The sequence below is a fragment of the Homo sapiens genome, chromosome 6, assembly GCF_000001405.40.
Source record: "Homo sapiens chromosome 6, GRCh38.p14 Primary Assembly".
Taxonomy (NCBI): domain Eukaryota; kingdom Metazoa; phylum Chordata; class Mammalia; order Primates; family Hominidae; genus Homo; species Homo sapiens.
Genome location: NC_000006.12, coordinates 39,370,000 through 39,394,986, shown reverse-complemented (window position 1 = coordinate 39,394,986; position 24,987 = coordinate 39,370,000). Strand labels below are relative to the sequence as shown.

General features: G+C 42.4%; 1 protein-coding gene and 1 long non-coding RNA gene across 12 annotated transcripts in view; one reads left to right on the top strand and one right to left on the bottom strand.

Moving 5' to 3' along the window:
* Nucleotides 1-24,987, top strand: part of KIF6 (kinesin family member 6) — a 395,419-nt gene that overhangs the window by 330,422 nt on the left and 40,010 nt on the right. For 10 of the 11 annotated variants that reach the window (XR_001743238.2, NM_145027.6, NM_001289021.3 and 7 more), the window contains one exon: nt 9,315-9,365. The exons of the other annotated variant lie outside the window; for it this stretch is intronic. Coding sequence is in view for 9 of the 10 variants with exons in the window: in NM_145027.6 (NP_659464.3) it covers nt 9,315-9,365 (51 nt within the window). In the remaining variant the exon portion in view is untranslated. The remainder of the gene's footprint in view (nt 1-9,314; nt 9,366-24,987) is intronic. 11 annotated transcript variants of the gene reach the window in all.
* LOC107986594 (uncharacterized) overlaps nt 5,547-24,987 on the bottom strand; it is a 38,190-nt gene continuing 18,749 nt past the window's right edge. Inside the window, exon 4 of the long non-coding RNA XR_001744111.2 lies at nt 5,547-6,678. This is a non-coding gene — a long non-coding RNA (uncharacterized LOC107986594). The remainder of the gene's footprint in view (nt 6,679-24,987) is intronic.

The following is a 24,987-nucleotide window of genomic DNA, read 5'->3' as shown; positions in this document are numbered from 1 at the left end:
AAATGTTCATTAATTACCAGGCACATCCTCCTCCACAAGATAGGGCCGAGGTGATGGGGAGCCCTTGAGAAAATCCCCACGGGGGGAAATCAAGACAAGTTCCGGTGATGTTTTTCTAGAAAGTATTGATATCTTTTATAAGGAGCTGCTTTCCCCCTCTCTCTGTGACTCGATTATGTTATCAACTGTGATGTTTAGCATACTAAATGGAAGAAGAATCTTGAATTCTGGAGAAATGAAATGTCAGTTTAGAATAAGGCAGCTTAAAAACATTTGCCTAGCATTTAGGCCACTCCTGGCCTCCCACTGTATGTTCCATTGCTGGACCTTTCTCTTTGAGGAACCCATGGAAGGACCTGTTGCCCTGACCTCAACAAGGGAAGAAGGCTTCTCAGAGGTGCCCCCACCCCTGGCCCCCAAGCCAATGGAAATCCCTTGCTGTCTTGGGCTGCCTCTGGGACTCTCTGTCTTCCACCTTCACTTCTTTGCCAGGCTGCTGGTGAATAACACAGCTCTGCCAAATAATCCGATGCTGAAACCCTCCTTATTTCCCCTATCCCTGTCGCTGAGACTTCGGTTATGAATATTTTCAGTCAGCACACATGGCAGATGACATCACATGTGTGGCAGGTGCTCAAGCGCAATTTCCAGCATGCTATAGTAACATCACATTTCCCTATCAAGGAAGTGCAGTGGGTATTTAATTTTTATTTCTTTTTATAAATATATACAAATATAGCTTTTATGTGAATCGTAAATCATGCGCCTTTATTAAAGTACATTTTCTATTTTGTTTGATCTTGCTCGGCTTTATCCTCTCCTACCCAATTCACTCTCCACCCCACTTCCACCCTCAGTAACCTGTCATAGCATTGTAGATATTCATTCACATAACCTCCATGGTCACAGCATCATACATATACATATATATGCACAAGGGCATATGTGCGTGCACAAACACACACACACAAACACACAGTTATTTACATACGTATATGTAAAGCTCTTGCCATTGTTTGTTTCACCAAACACAGGATCATTTATACCCCATTCTTTTCTCTGATTCCTTTTTTCTTCTTCCTTGGCTTCTGTCGAATTGTGAAAATGTTGGCATTCCCTCCCCACAACACCCATCCCTTGCCTTTTTTTCTGATCTTCTATTGATTTGGCTGCTACTGTACATATTTTTATTCTTCTAGAGTTAAAAAGTAACTATAACAATGTCTGTAGTTGTTCCAAATATATCCTCCTCCCAACCACATCCAGGGTCACAGCTGGTTTTAACTCCCCACTGAACATCTCACTACTTTATCTTCACTTTGTTATTATTGCCTAAAATGTTGGTTTTCAGATACACACATACACATACACACAGAGGTTTTTAATGGTCAAATAATAAAATATTTTTACTTAAATATTTTATTTACATTTTATGCTATTACTTCTTTTATCCCCCATCTTTGTGTTTATTTTTCTTCTTGCTGATCATAACAACTTTCACACTTACACAGTTTTTATTATATGTCAGGAACTCCTTAAGCACTTGACACATGTGACCTAATTCAGTTGTCACAGCACAAATGCTGTTATTATCCCCATTTTTCAGATGTCAAAACTGAGGCACACTGACATTCAGTCACTTGCAGGAGGTTACACAGTAAGTGGCCCAGCTGGATGCAAACCCAAGGGGGTTGGCTCCAGAGTCCACGCACTCACCCTCCACGCTTGGCTGCCTCAGTTGAGTTCTTTTAGGGAGAGAGGGCCTGCGGGTGGTAAATGCTCTTTGTCTTCTTATGACTGATAATGTCTTTACTGTGCCCTCACCTGTGAATGATAGTTTGGGTATGAATAAAATTCACGTTGACAGTTGTTTCCCTCCACTATCTCCCGGCACCTGTGGTTGTCACTGAGGAGTGGGCGGTCATCTAAGTTCCTCCTTTGCAGGTCCCCTGGAAGCTGTTAATAGTGGTTCTGATTCCCTGAAGTTCTGTAATTTTACTATGATATGTGTGGGGGTGGATTTATTTTTATTTATCCTGCTCAATACTCAAACTGCACTTTCAACCCAAGGGCTTATATTTTTCTCGAATGCTGGAAAATCTCAACTGCTATCTCTTCACCATTCTTTACCATTTGCCTCCATTTGCTTCTTTACCATTTGCCTCCATTCTCTTCTAGAATTCTAGACAAATGAGGAAGCCTCTCAGTCTCTTCTCTGTGACTTTTAACCGCTTTCCCCATTTTTATGTCTTGCTTTCTGTGCTGTGTTTGAGTCAGTTTTTCCAACTGTCTTCCAATTCACTAATTCACTTTTGAAATTTACCCCATCTAGGGTTTATTTCCTTAGTCTCTGTACTTTTTATTTGTTTCAATGACTAATTTTTATTTCAAAATTTCTGTTCTATCCACCTATTCTTGTATCATTTATACCTATTTGTCACATATTTCTTATTCTTTTTAAAGAAAATGTATCCCTTCATTAATCTCGTTAAGTATCCTCAACATACTTTAAGGTCTTTGCCTTGGGCAGATAGACTAGCACAATCATTATGGAGGGCAGCACTCAAATTAATTATGCAAATCTGCTGAGACCCAGCAGAGAAATGTTCTCACAGACTTATAAGACTACATGTTTAGGGATGGTCATCACAGCACTGTTTGTGTTAGTGGGAGTGAGGTGCAATCCAGTTGTTCAACTATCAAAAAATGGAAGTAAAAGTTGGGGTGCATTCTGTGGAATGGATGTAGCAGTCAGAAACTGAGAATTAGATGCATATACAGCAAAACAGATGTCAAAAACAGTACTAATAAATAAGTAAGAAACAGAATGAGATCTATAGCACAATATTACTTTCACAGCTTAAAACTACACAGAAAACTTTAATACAAATTGTAAGAACACCTACAATAAAAGCACATACATCAAACCAACTAGAATGGTTGCCTGTTGGAAGAAGAGGAGAATAAGAATAGGACATGAGACATGAAGTATCAGGGCCAAAATACATGTATACACACACACACACATATATATATATACATGCATTCATATATACATACATGCATATGTATACATACACCTATACATACATACAAACATACATACCAGAGAGGCATTGCCCAGGCTGATGAGTGGTGTACCCTAAACTGAAGAGTAAAATTAACTCAACCCTCTGTGCTTCTGCATCAACAAATGTCTTCATCTGCCTGCCCAGAAAATTACTTTCATCTGTAACTAATTCATGTTCCAACTATTGAACTTGACTATCTTTTTTTTAGCATGAGATTTATTCATATATTTTGGCATTTTGCTGGGCAGGCCCATTTTTAACGAAACACGTTTTATTTATTTCTCTTACTCTCTTTTTCTTTGTGTTCATCCCTCTCTGGCTGACAGACCCTCCAGGCCCCCAATCCAGAATCAACTCCAGTAAAGACAATTTGGAGTGACTGCTCCGTAACAGTACTGGAGATGAGCAGACCCTGTATAGAGCCCGTGAGCAGCTGGGCTTAGCAGCTGGAGAGGGGCTGAGTTTGTACGTTTCTTCCTCCTTGGGCTTGCATTGAGTTGGAAACCATAGCCCCAGGCAACATCTGGTGCACGTTTCATCAGTCCCCTTTCACTCACAGATTGGGTGGTAGGGAGCCTCACTTCAACCCGCAGCCTCAAACAATGTGCCAGACTCTTACCCTGTTCCGCATGGCGCTGTTTTAGTTACCTTCCTACTTCTGGAACCAGTGCTTTGCAAGTTCAAGGCCTCAGCTCCACTCACCATTTTTGCATTTCCGTCCTACTTCTGGTCTTCAGAAATATGTCTCATAATCAAATCCCACAATGTCTTCCTGATAGTCTCTTTTCTATTTTATCCACCACTGCTATGGTGAGAAGAGGTAGTTCCTGACTCAATACATTTTCAAAGTATACCAACAAGTTTGGATAAAGCCTGATGAAATATATATTAGCAAGGGGGACATGAATATGTCTGATTTTAAGGTTTCAAAGAATTTACATCCTCCTGTTAGTTGGGAATCCGTGTAAGGATTACACAATTTATTCTAGGCCCATTATTTTTACAACTAGCCTTACACACAGCCTTTAGGGATCTAACCTTTTGGTTATCATGATCCTCCATGTTAGTACCAAAAAAACTGCTTCTCACATGACAGCTGAAATTGTCACTCAGAGTTCGGAGCCTCTAACTAGACCTTCCATTTCAAAGAGGCCCCTCAGGCAGGAAACATATTCTGCATATTCTCCCCACACCCCAGTTCTACAACTGATGTTTATATTAACCAGATTTTGCCCAGAAACTCTAGTAGTATAGTCAAACAGACAAATAGCATTTATCTGGGTCCAGAGCTCTTAGTAATTACCCAGGACCCCAGACTCCAGTATGAATACAACTTAGTCTTCCCCAGCCCTAGTCCTCCACTCAACCTTCCCTTGCCGCCCCTGTCCCAAACCAGTATATACTTGGCCTCTGCATTATTGTCCCAGCAGTTCTCTCAGACTGAGGTGCCCTTCCCAAGCGCACCTTAACACCCTTGCTCTTTTCTGAGCCTACTCAATTCGCCTGTAGTAATTATGCCTTTCCCAATGTCTCCTTTCCCTCCTCTAAATGTATCTCTACCATTGATTTGACATTTAGCCGCTTGACCTGTCATCTTAACCATGTAGTATCCTTCCAATATGTCTGAAAGTGCCTGAATACCTAAAACGAGTGTGGCATATCATACATGCTGGTGCGTTATCCCTTGCTCCTCTGAAAGATCTTGAGATATAGCAAAGCAGATATTATTGCAGTTATAATATTTTTCCATTTTTCAAATGATAACATTGAGGTTAGAGACGTTGGTTAGCCCATTCAACTAAGAAGTAGCAAAACTGGGATTTGAACTCAACTTCGTCTACCTCCAGATTTGTAATTATTTCCTTTTTTTTTTTTTTTTTTTTTGGAGACAGAGTCTCATTCTGTTGCCCAGGCTGGAGTGCAGCGGCGCGATCTTGGCTCATTGCAACCTCTGCCTCCCAGGTTCAAGTGATTCTCCTGCCTCAGTGTCCCAAGTAGCTGGGATTACAGGTGCCCGTCACCATGCCCAGCTAATTTTTGTATTTTTAGTAGAGATGGAGTTTTGCCATGTTGGCCAGACTAGTCTTAAACTCCTGACCTCAGGTGATCCACCCACCTTGGCCTCCCAAAGTGCTGGGATTACAGGCATGAACCACCATGCCTGGCCCAGATTTGTAATTATTTTCTAGAATAACTGAAATAGCAAAGAGGTTTGCTTCATCTCAAGTCCAACTTCAAGTGATGGGCTATAGCTGCCCAGAGTGCTGTGTGGAAGAGCCAAACTCAGGCTCAGCAGGAAAGCAAACCATCCCTGATGGAGGAGCAAGGCCAGCCGTTGGTCCAGCACTTAAAAGAAAGAGCACACGGGCCACCTATTTGCTGATCCCTGTACTGCACTGACTTTCCTAGGTTAGGATAGAGCCTTCTACGAGTGTGTATATTCCACAGCACTTAGAACATAGTGCTTAACCGATAGTAGATGAGAGATAAGTATTTATTGTTTGATAGCAACATAAACATGTTGAATGAGGCACAGCATCCCAGAAATTGCAGGAGCAGCAGACAGCCACTCAGGGAGTCGTAAGTGAATAGCTCTCCTCCAGGCCAGCCAAGCAGCGTTCACGTGAATAATCTCAAACTAGCATGCGTGCAAAATAGAGTGTGAAGCTTATGGAAAATGGTTTTATTCAGAAGACTGAATACTGATGTAAAAAAATCAGTTTCACTTCTGCATGATGATAATACTTTCCCTAGAACTACTCAGTAACAGAGAAAACCCATATACCACACAGAGCACCACCTCCACATACCCTGCTCGCGGTCATATTTAAGGTCACCCGTCTCCTCTGGAGCTTTCCCGTGGATTGCTGTAAGCTCTGCTCCCCGCTGCCACCCACAATCCATCAATTAATGTATCAAAAGGGAGAGAAGGTGTTTCTAGCATGTACTGTGGTAAATTACTGAAGGAAAAATTACTAATTATGGACACTCCTGCAGGCAGAGCATTCCTTCCCTCCCCTACCCTTTTGGTTTTCAGCCCCATTCTGGGCTCCCTACTTCCCTCCCAGACTGTCTCCGGCCTCAGGCTGGGAGTTCTCTGTTTCCATTTCATCTCTTTTCCATACCTCTGGATGGGGATGTGTCCAGGAACCCAGGCCAAAACCAGCAAATTTATCACCGTGGTAATGACAGCAAGCTGCATGCTGAGTGAATTCTGCAATCCCCCTCAACTCCTTTTTTTGCCAAAACCCATAAAGCTGCAAGATCCAGCAGGTTACAGAGACTGTTATCTGCACATGAAGAATAGCTCTGTTAGAAATGCAATTAGGTATCAGCCATAAGGCTATTTTTGGAAGCTTGTTTGGGGGAAATAAAAAAAAACTTGCCATGTGGTGGGAGATGTTAGTCAATTCACCAAAACTGAGTATCACTAGCGGCATTGTAAAACAACCTTTATCAATATGTAACATTATAAAGACCCACCTTTTGTTCCCTGGTGGTGCCTCGTTGTTCTGAGAGTGAGTATTTATGCTTGTGGTGGCAAAATCCCCTCTTTATTTACGTGAGCAGCTCCTCCCAAACCAGGGGCAGTGGAGAATCCTTAAACCTGGTCATTCCAAAAAAAAAAAAATACTTCCTTAGGGTTTGGGAAAAAGGAACTTGGTCGTTCCAATAGGCGCTGAAGAAATTGTAACATACCAGGTTGAGCACACCTACTCTGGTCAAGGCATGGGGTTTGGAGGCACAGACTTGAGGAAGCATGTGTCAGGAGGCGCATTGTCAGGGAGGCTTATTACTGGGAAGGCTTATTAGCAGGGAGGTAGTTTCCAGGAAGCAGTGCAAACCAGTGTGTGCTCTAAAGGAGCAAGCCACTGTCCAGGCTCATTAGGAAGGCAGTACCCAGTCATATGAGAGGCTCGTGGTATAAGGCTGTGCCGGATACCCAGGAAACAGGCAGGGCACCAAAGCACCACTGACTCTCCATACTGCAGGATTAAAAAGCTTTTGATGACTCACTCTAAATCAAGAGATGTTTCTAAATGGTGTGTTGCATTTGTCACAGCAATATCTCCTTTTATTTGGAGCATGCATGTGCTATCCCATCTTAAAATTTAATTCAGCAGTGTTTGATGCAGCCTAGAGTCTCAGTCCAGCAGCAGCCTTATGTCCCCAACTTCTTTACTCTGCTTATATGGACAATAAGGGTCAAATTGCACTGAGTAGGGAAAAGATCCATTTGGGGCTGTGGCTGGCTCAGGTGTCAAGTCATTTTCCTGTTGGATCCAGGTTCACCAATACTCATCATTGGGTCAAGTTTCCACTTCCCCAAATCCCCCTCAGCACACTCCTGAAGTTCCCACCCTTCCCCCACATGGAATAAGGGTGCAATTATTGTTTAGTCCCAATGCCTGCCACGCTCTCTATGCATAATTCTCTCCAGTAGGGACACATGGAAACCAAGGCACAGACATGCAGGTGCCCCAGACCCTTTCCCAAGACAATGATGTGTCTGGAGATAGTGGCCTCCGAGGTATTACCTAAGGACTGGTGATGTTTGACCTCCATAAAGGGCAAGTCGAAGTAGAGAAATCAATCATAGCATCCTCAGATATGTGAAGATCCTATGCCAATGACAGAGGATCTTTTTCTGTGCTGATCCAGAAAACAGGCCAGGCACATAGCTGAAGATTATAGGGAAGCAGATGCAACTCCACATAATTAATTCCTTACATATAACTTAATGGAATAGCTCGAATACATACAAGTCAGAAGGGAAATGCCCATTTCCTTCTGTAGAAGGGATTCCTAAATTGACTGCAAAGTTGAACTGAATGACCTCTGCCATCTCTCCCAATTATAACATTCTAGAGGTGCCCTAAAACTCTCCATAAATGATAAAGTCTCTTGTGACTGCTTCCTCATCTACTCATCTTTTGAATACTCAATTCAGCTATAGCCTTGGAGGTATAGAATGTACTTATGTGAGGAAAGAAATATCTTAAACAAGGAAGCAATGAATTTTCCAGGCTTTCTTGGAATCCCCCAGTGGCCTGATCACATCCCCCAAATGGGACATGCCATACAGACAGCACTGACATTTTAACAAGTGTGCTGAGCCCTTGGACATAAACAAACTCCGGGCTGCTGTTTCACCCCTCCTTCATGCACGAAATCATGGAATTTTAGAGACGGAGGAAGCCTGGAGGTCATTGCCTCCCAGATCCTACCCAGGGCAGGAATTCTCACTCTAACAACCCAACAGATGGTCACCCAGCTTCTGCTTGAACCCTTTCAGGAAGGGGCTCACTGCTTTGCCAGAAGATTTAATCCATTTTGAGACAGTCCTCATTGTGAGTTGTTTCTTCCTTGTATTAAGCCCCAAGTCTGCTTTCATTAGACTTGATTTCTGCCCTCAGGAGCAAGATAAAAATAAAGCTGTTTCTAATTCATATGACAATGTTCAGATATTCAAAGACAGCCATTATCTCCATTCCTCCTCTCCAAGTCTTGTCTTCACATCTAAATGTCTCATGTCACCTTAAATATTTCTCAGATGGCATGGTTTCAGACCCCTCACCATTCCAGTCACCATCTTCTGAATATTTTCTATTTTGCAAATGTTCCTTATGAAGAGTAACTCCCAGAACAAATACCAGCTGATGTCTCCTCACTTGTAGAGCAGAGTGGAACTATCACCTCCCTGAAGGGAACTATCACTGTTCTCTGTGCATCATACCTTTATTAATGTAAACTAGAATTATATGAGTTTCACACCAAATGACCAACTATTAGGGTTATTGTCAGTTAAAACCACCATCTTTTTTTATTTGACACAGTTTCATGTAGCTTAAATAAAGATGTGGATTTTAAAGTAGGCCTAAATATTATTAAAAGACCAAATTCTGCTTTTCCCTTTATTAATAATAGAAAGAACCATTTAAGAGAATAGGGGCCTCAGTGAAAGTTATGGGTGACAGGCTAAGATACTTGAATCCTAAGATGATTGAACTCAAGGGTGAAATGTGTGTTTGCACTGATGTGCCAGCACCTAGGCCTTTGCAACCTCTTCTTCCAACACGATCTAGGAATCATGGAAGGTCATTTCTTGGAAGCTATGCCTGCTTTTGTTTCCCTTACTCTACCTTTTTTTTTTTTTTTCTGTAGCTTGCCACATGCTTCTGAGGCAGTCTTCCTCCAGCCCATTGGAAACCCACTGGTAGTTTTCTTTTGTGTCTTTGGCAGGTCACCTGAAGGAAGAAATCACCCAGCGGCATATACAGCAAGTAGCCCTAGGTAGGTACAAAGAGAATCTGCAGGAAGAGGATGAAGGTAATATAAACTGACCTGATTTTAGGAATCCAAACCCAGCTAAAAGATAACCCATTTAAAACCCTCTCTGAGGTTAAGGATGGCAAGGGTTGCTATCCACACAGCTTTCCTTGGATGCCCCTCCTCTAACAGGATCTGTTTCCCCAGCCTGTGTTCTTGCGCCTGGCCATCAGCACCCAGCACCCTACTCTTCCAGCTGTTGCCTCATCCTCCCCTCCTTTCCCACCCCACATCCCCACCTAAATTCACCCACTGTGTCCCAGATTCTCAAGGTCCTATCTGAGCTTTTCAGAGCCACTACTAACTAATCCTAACAGAAATAGTTAATGATGAAAACAGCATTTGTTTACAGACCCGTGTCTGTTGCACAGCCTCATATGCAGTCTCCTTTCATCCACAGCAGTCCAAAGAGGTAAGTGCATTTACCAGATGGGGGAGATGCAGTGCCTTCCCAAGGTCATGTAGCCAGTGAGTGTTGAAACAAGTATTTGAACCCAGTTCTGTTCCAAGCTTGGTGCTGTTAGCCCTCATGCTATTTACTGCCCACTGCAATGATCAACCCGCTTTAACGCATGAAGAATGCAAATACAAAACAAGGACAGTCATATTCTAAGAGGCCCTTGGCACCTTTTAAGCAGTGGACATCTGCAGAAAACACCCTTTTTTGATATGTGACCCAATGAAGTCACCTAGGAGAAGAGTATAGCTTGCAGAGGACTGGTGGAGTGGGTATCCTGGGTAGAACCTCCTCATTTCCTCTCCAGCTAGCTGGGACCAACAATTTATGGAGAACTTTGATTAAATAAGAAATTCATGTATTCCAGACAAAAAAAGTTCCCCTTGAGATGGTGTGGGCCCTCAATTACCTGTAATCGGAGAAATCCAGCACCCAGGGCCAATGGTGGGGAAATAGAGGAGAGCCTCTAAAGTCATGACGATGGCTCATTTGACTTTGGTAATTTGTATTATTAGGAAAGTTGGTTGTTTCGTTTCAGTAGTAATAATGATGATATAGAATAGCTGCTGATTACATCAGGAACATAGAACAAGGGCACCTAAGCCACGGCAACTGGAGCTCTGAGCTTCCCACTGTTGGCCCTGGGACTGGGGTCAGGTACACTGCCCTCCCAGCGCCAGAGACTTGGGCACACACTTAGCATTGAGATTCTGCGAAGTGTCTTCAACAAAGAGCCAGGCTGCCCCAGGGCCCTAACTCCTTGGGCCAGGCTTGGGAAGGCAGAATGACCTCTGCTGGAAAACTGTACCAAGGTGACCTTATGGGCCTCTGTATCCTGCTTCGTGCTCACCCTGGCAGGTCCCTGGATATGGAGTTGTCCCCAAGGGCTGCCACCTGGCCCTGAAACATCTGCCCTCTTCTTCAGCCTTCATGTTGCTGGTTCAATAGGAATAGCAACGTAGGAAGTCCTAGCCAGAGCAATTAGGCCAGAGAAAGAAATAAAAGGCATCCAAACAGAAGAGAAGTCAAGTTATCTCTCTTTGCTGATATGACCGTATACCTAGAAAACCCTAAAGATTCTGCCAAAAGACTCCAAGACCTGATAAACTGCTTCAGCAAAGTCTCAGGATACAAAATGAATGTACAAAATCAGTAGCATTTCCAGACACCAAAAACTTTCATGCTGACAATCAAGAATGCAACCCATTTACAATAGCCACAAAAAAATTAAAATACCTAGGAATGCATCTAATGATGAAGGTGAAAGATCTCTATGAGGACACCTGTAAAACACTGCTGGAAGAAATCATAGACAACACAAACAAATGGAAAAGCATTCCATGCTCATGAATTGGAAGAATCAATATTGTTTAAATGTCCAAAACAATCTACAGTTTCAATGCTATTTCTATCAAATTACCAATGTCATTTTTCACAGAATTAGAAAAAAAAACTATTCTAAAATTCATATGGAACCATAAAAGAGCCTAAATAGCCAAGGCCATCCTAAGCAAATAGAACAAAGCTGGAGATATCACATTACCCATTACAAACTAAACTACAAGGCTACAGTAACCAAAACAGTACGGTATTAGTACACAACCAGACATATAGACCAATGGAACAAGACAAAGACTCCTGAAATAAAGCTGCACACCTACAACCAACTGATCTCCAACAAAGTCAACAAAAATAAACAATGGGGAAAGAACACCCTATTCAATAAATGGTGCTGGGAAAACTAACCGTTTGCAGAGAATGAAACTAGATTCCTACCTCTAACCATACACAAAAATTAACTCAAGATGAATTAAAGACTTAAATGTAAGACTTCAATCTGTTAAAATTCTAGAAGAAAACCTAGGATATACTTTTCTAGACATTGGTCTAGACAATGAATCTATGATGAAGACCCCAAAAGCAAATGCAGCAAAATCAAACATAGACAAATGGAACTTAATTAAACTAAAGAACTTCTGCACAGCAAAAGAAGCTCTCAACAGAGTAAACAGACAACCTACAGAATGGGAGAAAATATTTGCAAACTATGCATCCAATGAAGGATTAATATCCAGAATCGATAAGGAACTTAAATGAATCAATAAGAAAAAAAGAACCCTATTAAAAAGTGGGCAAAGACAGGAACAGACACTTCTCAAAAGAAGACATACAAGTGGCCAAAAAACATACAAAACAATGTTCAACATCAGTAATAATCAGAAAGATGCAAATCAAAATCGCAACGAGATACCATCTCACACCAGTCAGAATGGCTATTGCTAAAAAGTCAAAAAATAACGGATGTTGGCAAGGTTGCACAGAAAAGGGTATATTTATACACTGCTGGTGGGAATGCAAATTATTTCACCTCCTCTGGAAAGCAGTTTGGAGATTTCTCAGAGAACTAAAAATAGAACTGCCATTCAACCCAGCAATCCCATTACTGGCTATATACCAAAAGAAAAATAAATCATTCTACCAAAAGACACAGGCACTCAAACTTATGTTCATTGCAGCACTATTCACAATAGCAAAGACATGGAATCAATCTAGGTGCCCATCAATGGCAGATTGGATAAAGAAAATGTGGTACACATCATGGAACACTACACGGCCATAAAAAAAAACAAAATCACATCCTTTGCGGCAACATGAATACAGCTGCAGGCCATTATCCCAAATGAATTAACGCAGGAACAGAAAACCATATACCGCATGTTCTCACTTGTAAGTGGGAGCTAAATCTTGAGTTCACACAGACATAAAGATGGAAACAACAAACACCAGAGACTCCAAAAGGAGGTAGGAAGGGAAGTGGGCAAGGGCTGAGAAACTTCCTATTGGTTACTAGGTTCACTACCTTCGTGACGAGATCAATACAAGCCCAAACCTCAGCATCATGCAATATACCCTTGTAATAAACCTGCACATGTACCTCTGAATCTAAAATTTAAAAATGGAAATTTAAAAATAAACAAACAATGATGTGAAAAATACCACTCAACTCTAGGGGCAATTTTCATCTTCGGTCTGGGAAGCCATTTCCATGACTTTGTGGGCAAGAGATCTTCCATCCTCTCTGCTGCCCAGTCCCCACCCCTCCCAGGGATGGTCCTTCCAGCTGGGGCAGACACTTCCTGGGCCTTTGGAAAACTGCTGTATGTTTTCAATCACAGGCTTGTGCCTTAATTCCTCTGCTCATCTCTCTGGGAGTCTTCTGAATTACAGCAGGTGTTAGGTTCAGTAGCGCCTAGCTTTGCCTGAAGTAATCAGCAAACTTCAAACAGAAAGCACTTTGGCTGGAAGTCTAATTAAGAGCATTTGAAATACCTATTTATTTTAAAAGCATACTATCCCAATTAGAGAAGAAGTGTCAACATCTCCCAGCTGCCATTCTGAGATTAAATGCCATGTTGCCGTCCAAGCTCCTTAGGAGGTTGTCTGATGGAGATTTGGAACTGCCAGAGCTTGTGTGTCCCAGGTGGCCGCATTTCAGATGGGAATTCTCCTCATTGAGAGAAACCTCTCAAGACAGATTGCTTATAGAACCTTAACTCTCGCCCTTCAGCCCAGCAGTTGGGCTGAAGGCTAGGACAGAGGGCTCCGGTAAGAGTAAAGGCAGCCTACTCGGTGTATTTGGATTCCCTGATGTTTTGTAATTCAGGCTTCAGATCTAAGAGTAAAGAAGTGACTCAGTGGTACGCCCCCTTTCATTTCTGTCTTTTTTGTGTATCTTCTACTACCATCACCCTTTTCATTCTGTTCCCTTTGTCTGCTTCTTTTCACTTTCTCTCACTCTCCATTCTCAGTATTTCCTCTGTTATTGTTTCTTTCTTTTGCCTACATGTTCCTATGGTTTCATGAAAGTGTGGGTGTGATCGGTTTGGGTTTGTCGTGGGGAAGGGTGATGAGCAAGTTGGATCAGGAGAGTTTTTCTTATATGTTTTGCATAAGAATATGTCTCTGGATGTGTAAGTAGATGTGTGCCCAGGGAAATTTCTATAAAGGCAATCCCATATCCCAAAGGAACAAAGATTTAGTGGTAATGTGAGAGGCACCATTTGGAAGAAATCATTCATGGATGATGATAAGCCATTCCCAGTGGTGTGCTGAGCTGGCTCAGTCCATAAAAGCATAAACTGTTAGTACTCCAGGAATGTGGGGAGCCGTTTTTAAACAAAGATGTTATTAAAATTAAATTAGATAAGTTTACAATTAAATGTTATATTAAGAAACAAAGGTAACAAATACTCAAAATTCACCACTTCCTAGTTAATTTACTACATTGTGTTATTATCTGTGCTTTTGAAGTGATCTGTATCCACTGTATCTGTGTGGTGGGAACACTGTGTGACGAGGTGCTGCGGTGCCTCTCTTCCCAAATCCACATTTAGCGAGATCATACTGGTGGCTTCAAATCAGCCATGCTGGAAATATTTACACCAAGGAAATTGGCAAGTATTATAAATGTGGCTTTTTTTTTTTTCCAAAGAGTGGCTGTTAAACATTTGCCACCACACCAATGGCATATGGATGGCCCTTTCATGGCCGGGTGTGTGCGTGTGTGTGTGTGCGCGTGCATGTGCACACACGCGTGACTGTGCATGTGCTTTTATAAGGATTCCTACTCTCTTTCCTGGCTGAAAGTCAAGACTATGGTTCTTTCTTCATTTACAACTCACCCAAGATACATCAGGAAACATAAACATCTACCGAACCCTGGTCCTTTTAAAACTTAGTGGACAGGAGAACTAATGAAGACAAAAAGGAGGCTGAAGAAGCATTGTACCTTGTGAGCTCCCTAGATGTGACAGTCAGAGCTGGGGGTGTCTTTTAAGACAAACATCAATAACCATCTCTAAGAACATCATCAGGGCTTATAGGAGGGCTGACTCCCACACACTATTTCAGGAAACAATAGAACAATGTTATTTTTAAATTAGGCGTCAGTTGGAAATGATACTAACTTAACTAGATTCAGCTAGCTGAGCTGAGAGTGCTTTGCTGAATTCAGTTGTGTGTGTTTTTACCACTTTACTGTACTATCGACCCCAAATGATTTAGTATTGTTGATAATGCAGATGAGACTAATCAGCAAATGTTTCTTGAGTACTTTACCATGTGCCAGGCATGTTACTAAGTTCTCTACATGTGTTTCTTTCTTTAATGCTCACAACCCAATGACGTAGATGTTACTATTATCCTCACTTTACATTTAAGGCCCAAAGGGGTTAAGGAAACCTGCCTAACTTTGCTCCGCTGTGGATGCAAGGCCAGTAGCCTGGGTCCACAGCAGTGTTCCAGCCATCACGCTGCACTGCCCTTAGCACTTTGCCAGGCATCATGGAATCCACAGAGGGCTGTATCCAGTGCCTGCCCTCAAAGAGTTTCCAATCTAACCAGGATGAGTTGACATGTGCATAAAAAGACAACTCCTTTTTTTAAGTATCAGATTCAGCTACCTACATTCTTCCATTCACTGTCCTCTTCCCACTGTAGCCACAAAACCAATTCAACATTGACCTCCTCTGTGAAGCCTTCCCTGACCCCTTCTCCCAAAATCTGCTTTTGCCTCCGCCTCATGGGTCTCTGTTAAAGCACCAACCCTATTTTGTAATTATTTATTTCCATATATATTCTCCATGCTAAAATGTAAGCTCCAGGAAAGGTGGGTGCAGTCAAATTCATCTTCGAATCCCTAGCAGCCAGCACAAGCAATAAATAGGCCAAGTCAATGGCCAGATGAATGCTTCCCCAGGTGACTTCCAGACTCACACATTTTGCAAAAGCACAATGAGACATTTGAGCATAAAATAAAATAAGCCCATTTAAAAGAAGTAGAAGGCATAAGTGCTTTTGGACTCCACAGCTGAGCAAATTACAACACACAGGCAATAAATTTGGCTCTCTCTTGTCTAGCTGCTAAGCAAAAAAGAGGCACCCAGAGTTACATAGTTTTCATTTTCTGACAGCAGGAAGCATACTAACTAATTTATCTGCAGAAAATAGAATTTCTTCCTGGAACTAAATACAAGCCAGAATTTATCGTGCGGATCCTTGTATAAAGGACACTGAGTGACACAGTGAACGATGTCTTCAACTGCAGTTTTACAAAAGATACCGAAATGTTATTCAACCAGATGATTCTTGTATCGACCCTCTATAAAAGCTAGAGGCCTGACATTAAAGCATAGCTCACTGAAAGCGTTTATGTGAGCGGCCAAGATAATAGGATCCGGGTACTCAGCTTTCTGATGGCCACACAGAGCAGGACTAAAACTGGAAGAATCCAGCCCCAGGAACGTGGGCTGTGGCCTCTCTCTCAAATATCTCTTCTAAGCAATATTTGATCAGGGCTGGATCTTGTTCAGTTCACAATCAAAACCCTTAACAGGTGCCTGTGGTTAAAATTTAAAAGATACATCACACTACCAAGCAGCATGTGAAATGTGTCAGGTGAGAGGGACAGGCCATGAGAACTTCCCGTTCTTACCAGAAGGAGTGGCCCTGGGGGGTTGTCACCAAGACCACAGGCCTGGGCTGAGTCTTGAGGAATGGGCAGGATTCTGAACCACAGAGAAGAGTGGGAAATAGTTTGGGTTAGTTGGGGTGTGTGTATGCGTGTGTCTGTTGTGTATGTACGTGTGTGCTGTGTATATGCGGCATGTGGTGTGTGTGTATGTGGTATGGATATATGTTGTATGCATGTGTATATGTGGTATGTGTGCAGTGTGGGTATGTTGTATGTATTGTATGTATATGTGGCACGTGGTATGTGTGTATGTGGTATGTTGGATATGTTGTATGTGTTGTATGTGTGTTTTGTGCTTGTGTGTGTGGTGTGTATGTGTGTGTGGTTTGTGGGTTTGTGTGTGTGTGTGGTGTGTTGGTGGTATGGATATGTTGTACATGTTATATGTGTGTGTGGTTTGTGTGTTTGTGTGCGGGATGGGGGTTTCTCTGCATTTACGCTTCTCTGCGTTTACCCCTTGACCCAACTTCTGTGAAAACAGAGCTTACTGGAACATCCCATTTCCTCGACAGCGAGCATGTTTCATATACTGTTATAGAAGATAGTTATACTGATAGTATTAATTAAAAAAAGAAAATATCTTAAACTTAAGATCAACAAGTTCCAAAGGATGGCTGAGATTCCCCCACGAATACTACCTCTTGGGCACTACCCCTCTTTCCACCTCCCTCCTCCCTCTTCTCACTGCCCCAGGAACAAAGATCTCCTTGAACAAAAGCAGCCCCCAAGAACAAGCCATTCGACTGTGATGCCACGTGGAGCCCTGGGATTGCCACTGGCTGGTGTTTCACTACCTGACCCGGGAAATCAGGCAGAGGCAGCTCTGAGTCCCCTGCAAGGGCCTTACGGGTTGGAGAGAGGCTCTGAAGCTGCTGGCTCCCTGTTTCACTGCGTTGTTCTAGTTTAGTCCTCTGAGAGGGCTCTTTTCCCCCAACCAGCATTCCTGCAGTGACCTCTTGTGGCATCCCTGTTGTTCTTCAAAGACAGGCCTCGGCTGTTGATGCCACTTTCTCCCATTTGATGTAAAATTGGTAAAGACTGAGTTTTGAAATGCTTTTTGCAGTTCTGCACCTAGGGACAACAAATTTAAGAGAAAGCAAAAGGCCAGACTGTCAACCATTTATTCCCCAGATTTCACTGAGCACCTAGCATGATCCAGTGTGTGAAACTGGGAATCCAAGGATATGGAGAGGAGCCACTGATTGAGACTGAACTGAAACCGGGGTTGGGGGGGGATGGGGGACGGCAGGGCAGGCACAGTGGCTCATACCTGTAATCTCAGCACTTTGGGAGGCCAAGGTAGGAGAATCGCTTGAGGCCAGCAGTTGGAGACCAGCCTGGGCAGCATAGCGAGACCTCATTTCTAGAAAAGATTAAAAAATTAGCCAGGTACAGCAGCACATACCTGTAGTCCTAGCTACTTGGGAGGCTAAGGCGGGAAGATTCCTTGAAGTCAAGACTGCTGTGAGCCACTGCACTACAGCCTGGGAGACAGCAAATTTAAAAAAATAAAAAAGAAAAAGAGAAAACAACGGAAGGGGATCTTCCAGCATCCTCTAGCCCAGTGGTCTGCAAAATGTGCTCTGTGCAGCCTAGATGGTCTCCACAGCCCCTTCAGGACCACGAGGCAAGGGTGAGGACAGCCACTGTGCAAACAGCGCAGCTTTGGGATTCTCGCCCACTCAAATTCAACCAAAACAACTTCAGATCTTTTTTTTTCTTTCCATTAAGCTTGTATTTGAAGAAAGAGTTCTGCAGCTTTTAATATATCTTCTTTCTTCCAATATCATGGCTCTGTTTAAAACATTTCCAAAGTCAGATAGTCCAAACTTCCCCTCCCCAGAGCTATCTCAGCTCCCTCTGGGCTCACACAGAACTCTGCATATCCCTCTGTGATGCAGCTAGTCACACTAGACAGTGATGATTAGTCTGTGTCTCCCACACTGGACAGATTGTCTTTCTTTCCCCAACACCAAGCACAGTGACTGTCACGCAGTAGGTCCTCCATAAGTGTTTATTGAATGAATGAGTGAAACTTAGGCATCACATTTTTGCCTTAAAGATGTGCCAGCAGCTGAGGGGCTCTGCGCTCAGGTTTCTACATCTGTAAAATGACGTGGTTGGACCAGATGATAGCCCAGTGCCGGGCACAGTTCCTGAGGCTTAGCTGGCCTTCACTGACTGCTTGTTGAATGAACAGATGAATCTCTAGCACTCCACAGCCCTCAAGTGTCACAGTATTACCTCTGTGAAGGCAGGCTTCCTTCAGACATGCAGAAAACACTCGCAACCTTGGTGCGGAGACATGGGAGAGCTTGGATGGATTACAGATGTTTTCACCCTCTCAGAAATAAAATTGTTGACTCCTTGAAATAAGGCAGGATATAAAGGATGCAGCTGCCCTCTAAGGCTGAGATAACATCTCAGTTGGTTCCAAAAGAATTCAGGTAACTCTGTAAAACCATCAACAGTGTGTCTCACCACTTAATTCTAATCCACAGTTGCTTGTGAATATAGGGCCATCCTCAGTGACATGAGGTCCTTAGCCGAATTTCCATGCTCAAGGGAGAGGCTGGGAGTGAGGAGGAGCCTGCACACCATTTCCCTGCCAGTTCCCAACTGCCAAGGGTTCAGACCCATTGAGTGGTTTAAGGCTCCTGCACCAACCATTCTGGAGGGCAGAGGAAGACTCTATGTCAGCCCTGGTGCCAGCCTGCAATAGCAACTGTGGTTTAGCAAAAAGAGCATTCACCCTGTGTATTGGTCAGGGTTGTCCAGATAAGCAGAACCAATAGGAAATATATTGATATATGGAGAGAGATTTTTTGGAAGGAATTGGCTCACTCAGTGTGGAGGCTGAGAAATCCTATGATCTGCCATCTGCAAGCTGCGGGCCCAGGAAAGTCTAGCTGTAGTTCTAGTCCAATCCTGCAGGCCTGGGAACCAGGGCAGCCAAAAAAGTAAGTCCCAGTCTGAGTCCAAAGGCCTGAGTGCCAGAGTGCCAACGTCCAAGGGCAGGAGATCGATGTCCCAGCTCAAGCAGAGAGAGGAAATTTGCCATTCATTACTCAACCATTTTTGGTATTTTTGTTTGCTTCTCTTAATATTATTTCTAATTGAAAAGCCATAATTGTATATATTTTGGGGGTACATTGTGATGTTGTGATATGTGTATACAATGTAGAATGTTTAAATCAAGCTAATTAACATATTCATTGCCTCACCCATGATTTTTTTTGTGGTGAGACATTTGAAATTTACTCCCAGCAATTTTGAAATGTCCATTATTACTCCTTGTGTTCACACTGCTGTGCAATAGATCTCAAAAACATTCCTCCTATCTAATTGAAACTTTGTACCCTTTGACCAACATCTCCCTCTCCTGACCTCCCACCCCTGGTAACCACCATTCTAGCCTCTATTTCTATGAGTTCAACTATTTCAGATTCTCACATAAGTGAGATCATGCACTATTTGTCTTTCTGTGCCTGGCTTATTTAACTTAGCATAATGTCCTCCAGTTTCATTCATGTTATTGGAAATGACAGAATTTCCTTCTCGTTTAAGGGTTAATAGTATTCCATTGTGTATATATACCACATTTTATTTATCCATTCATCTGTTGATGGGTTGATTCAATGTCGTGGCTATTGTGAACAATGCTACAATGAACATGGAAATGCAGATATCTCTTCAACATACTGATTTCAGTTCCTTCAGATGTATACCCAGAAGCAAGGTTGCTGGATCACATGGTGGTTCTATTTTAGTATTTTGAACAACCTCCATACTGCTTTCTATGACAACTGTACCAATTTACATTTCCACCAACAGTGTACAAGGGTTCTCTTTTCTCCACATCCTCACCAACACTTATCTTTCATCTTTCTTATAGCCATTTTAACAGGTGTGAGGTGCTATCTTATTGTGATTTTAATTTGCATTTCCCTAATGATTAGGGATGTTGAGCATTTTCTTATGAACCTGTTGGCCATTTGTTTGTCTTCATTAGAGAAATCTCCGTTCAGGTCCTTTGCCCATTTTTTTAATAGGGTTATGTGTTTTCTTGCTGTTGAGTTGCTTGAGTCCATTATATATTTTGAATATAAACCCTTTATCAGATGTATGGTTTGCCAATATTTTTTTCCACTCTGGGTTATCTCTTTAGTCTGTTGATTGTTTCCTTTGCTGTGCAAAAGCGTTTTAGTCTGATATAATCCAATTTGTGCAAGTTTGTTTTGTTGTCTGTGCTTTCAGGGTCACAGCCAGAAAATCATTGCCTAGATTAATGTTGTTGAACTATTCCCCTTATGTTTTTTTCTGGTAGTTTTACAGTTTCAGATCTTATATTTAAGTCTTTCATCTATTTTGAGGTAATTTTTCTTTATGGTTTGAGATAGGGATCCAATTTTATTCTTGAGCATGTGGATATCCAGTTTTCCCAACACCTTTTATTGAAGAAACTGTTGTTTCCCCATGTATGATCTTGGCACCTTGGTCAAAAATCAACTGGCCATAAATATGTAGGTTTATTTCTGGGCTTTCTCTCCTGTTGCATTGGTCAATGTGTCTGTTTATCACAGTGCCCTGCTGTTTTGATTACTATAGCTTTGTAGTAAATTTTAAAAACAGAGAGTGTAATGCCTCCAGCTCTGTTCCTTTTGCTCAAGATTACTTTGACTATTGAAGGTCTTTTGTGGTTCCAGATGAACGTTAGGATTTTTTTTCTATTTCTGTAAAAAAATAACATTGGAGTTTTCATAAGGATTGCATTGAATCTATATATTGCTTTGGGTAGTATGAATATTTTAACAATATTAATTCTTCAAATCCATGAATACAATATATCTTTCCATTTATCTGTGGTTTTTTTCCATTTCTTTCATCAGTGTTTTATAGTTTTCAATTATACCTCCTTAGTTAAATTTACACCCAATTTTTGTTTGTTTGTTCTTTGGGTTTTTTGTTGTTGTTACTATCATTAATGGAATTTTTTTTTAATTTCTCTTTCGGATAGTTTGTTGTTAGTATATAGAAATGCTACTGGCTTTTATATGCTGATTTGGTATCCTGTAACTTTACTGAACTCACTTATCAACCAAAAGTTTTTTGGTTGAGTCTTTAGGGTTTTCTATATATAAACTCAAGTCATCAGCAAACAGAGACAATTTCAGACTCCTTGCCACAGAGCTGACCATGGCTCTGGGCCACCAGCAGCATTGAAGGCCTCCACAAGACACAGTCACTACACTGCTCTAGCCATATTTACTCACAGACACCATTGATTACTCTTTCTTGCAAAAAAACGCAATCACATCCAAGAAGGGGCTGTCTATTCCTTTAAGCGCTGAACCCAGATGATCTTGTTACCAGTTGCCAGAGCCATTTTTTTCATCATGCAACTGTGCAGAAATCATGGCTGCTGCTTTGAGCAAATTAGGCATTTGACCAAACATATAGAAGACAAAATTCTAGCCTCTGCATCTCATCTGCTAGACTAGAATGTATTATGGCTGGCCCCTCTATCTGTCCTCTTTTTCCTTTACACATGATGAAAATCGCCATCTGTGCTCGGCAAATCTCGGACCAAGAAAGGCCTCGGTGTTTCCTAGGAACAGTTCTGTTGCATGTGTAATGGAGTTGGGTAAGACTTTCCCATCTCCCCAGAGAAGGTGATGATTAGTTTGGGAAAGAACAACCAACAGGAAACCAAGGTTGGCTGTGCTGAAATACAAATGATGGGTGCAAATAACCAACAGAAAGCTTTAAGTGGTATTTTGAAAATCCTGATATCTATTTGAGAAATAATTAGGGAGCTGTTGTAAAGAGCCAGGAGCCTGCCCAGGAGAAAGGGTAGAGTGAATTGTGAAGGATGCTTCTACCAATTCCGTAATATTCTATTTAAAATTAAAAAATGAAACTGCAGCAAACTATTTAGATATTTCAAAATATAGTCAGTACATGGGTGTTATTTATCTCATTCTCTGAACTTTTTGTGTTTGCAATGGTTTATAATAATTCCCAGAACTCTATGAAGGATTAGATTCCAAGGCTTCATAGATCAAATAAAAATTACTGTTTTAGTGGAATCATTGTGATAGAAGTGGTAGTAAAAAGTGAATCCCAATTCAATTCTGATTAATCTTAATTCTCCTTACTACCATTTATGTCAGGATCATTTTACTTAAAGGTGAAAACAGAAAATTTACCACTTATTTTCTTCTCCAGGCGCATTGTAATTTTTGGTAGGGACTTAATAGCTGTTGGTGGTGTGCCTGACATGAGTGATACAGGGAAGTGCCCTGAAGGTTACTTTTTTGTTGTTCTCCCACCGTCTCTTCCCATCTTCATAGGAGGGAAAGTTCTTCCTCTGCCCCTGGATGGAAATTGATCAACCCCATAACTGAATTGGTCATTCATTGTTAATTACAAACCAAAAAGAGTGGTCATTTTATATAGTAATTGCAATCTTAATAATTCCAATTTCATCAAGAGATAAGACTTCTCTCCCTTACCCCAACTCAGGCCAACTGTGAGGAGGAGAGGGAAATAGTCATCTCTCTTTCTAACTCCCTCCCTTCCTTAGCCTGCTAAGGCTCGATTTCCTCAAGAAGGGATTAGAGGAAAGAAGGAAGGGAGGAAGGGCCATTGGTAAAATCTCACTTGAATGGTTCTGCTGTAATGTGGCCTTGGACTCTCTGGGCCTGGTAGATATTCAAAGCAGACTCTTCCTAATTTGGGGTGGTTTCATGGGTCTCTGGAGATCCCTCACCAGCAGGTCCCTTAACTTGAGGGAATGTGCCTTATTGGGCGGTTCCTTACCCAATTTGAATCTATATGGGTCAGGGTCCTAACAAGAAGCAGATGTCAGCACTCAGATGAGACGTTGTGAAGAGAATTGGATAAAGACCTATCTACAGAGGCATAAGCAGAGTGTAGGGAAACTGCAAGGGAGAGCACCCCAGAGATAGTCACTGCAGCAAGGCAGGAAGCATTGCTGTCCCTAGGCCTGGACAAGACAGGGAAAAGTTACTAGAATTTAAAGACTGTCAGGGCTGTGCAGAAAGGCCCTGGCCATCTGATACGAGCTGTGACCTTCAGTCAAGCCATGTGTCCAGCTTGTGACCCCCGCAGAGAAGTCTCCCATGAAGAAACAGCTTGGCCTCTCTCTCCTCCTACCCTCCAGTTACTTGCTGCTGTTCCCCACTGGAGGAGCCCAGACAGAAGGCAGAGGGTGTAAGGAAGGTAAAAGAGGGTGGAGAAGTCAATGAGCTAGGAATAGGCCCAGCATACCACCCCCAGGTTGCCCGCCTCCAGGTTTCCTTCTCCTGCATTCCCATTGCCCCTCTAGGTGGCCCCGTGAGAAAGAATGTAAGTGTCAAGTGTTGTGGTAGAGGAGCTCAGAGGCGTGCTGGAGCCAGCTCCCACTGGCTCACAAGGGCTGATCGTGTACATTTTTTCCCAACTCCAAATTCAGGAACATCATGTTGGTAGACTGAACAGGAATATTTGTACCCCAAAAATTGGCAAACACTGAAAATCAGGGCTTTTTTCTTCCAGAGAGCTGGTTGTTAAACACTTACCAGCACACCACTGATCCAAAATGCCCCTAACCTCCCTCTCTTCTGTGCTTATAGCCCATGTTGGGTCAACAGAAACACAGTAGTAACCCTGCTCTTGCCACTAGCAGATCATCAGCCCATGCCCCACCCTCTAGAGCTCCTGAATAAAAATCGACAGTAGTGCACTCTGGCCTTCTTGCCCCCCACCCCCAGCACCCACACAGATCCCCGAGAATTCTCAGCAAACTTTCTGCGTGGTCTCTCGGGCTCCTTCACTGCCCCTGAGGGAGGAAGAAGCATCTCCACACACACCACCCCCAAGGAGGGAGAGGAGGTAGGCTTAGGCAAACTGCTAGCTCTTTTTAAAGGAATTCTTGTCAAACATTTATTTTGGCCCTTTTCAAATGCTGATGTGAGTGTTTGGGTTGTCTAGCCAGCTCTCGCCATTTCACTTTGAAAATGTGCCAGTTCTACTGTGTGGTCTGTCTCAGAACTCACTTTTGACTCCAATATATGATAAATTATTGCCAAATGAAAGGATTAATTTACAAATTGGCTAGTAGCAGGTATGTTTTCCAAAAGAAGAGGGAGACAGCTTGATGAAGGATCCACAACTCAATTTTTAAAACTCCTGAAATTTCTCTAATTAGCCAGTCAAGAGAATCAATGGAACCCTACTAACCATCTTCATTAGAGGTTTTCATAGGAAGAATGCCTGTGCTGGCTCTTATAGGTGCAAGAAAAACTGCTCTCCCCAAAAGATCATATGCATCCTGAGAACACTGCCCCCTGGCTGGTCCAGTGCAATAAAGATGCAGCTGGACTGTAGGCATGCCAAGTTTCCTACTAATGTCTCTAAGAAGCCACTGCACTGAGCCATATGGTCACCACGAGTCCATGAGGCTTAAGTGACAGGAGGGAGAACTGCCAAGGTACTCAGAGCTTTGAGAGAAACCTGAGTTCAGAACTTCAGGCACACTTCCAATGGAGGAGAGAGAAAGTCACAGTGGACTGGAAGGCTGCCCCTGGAGGGGT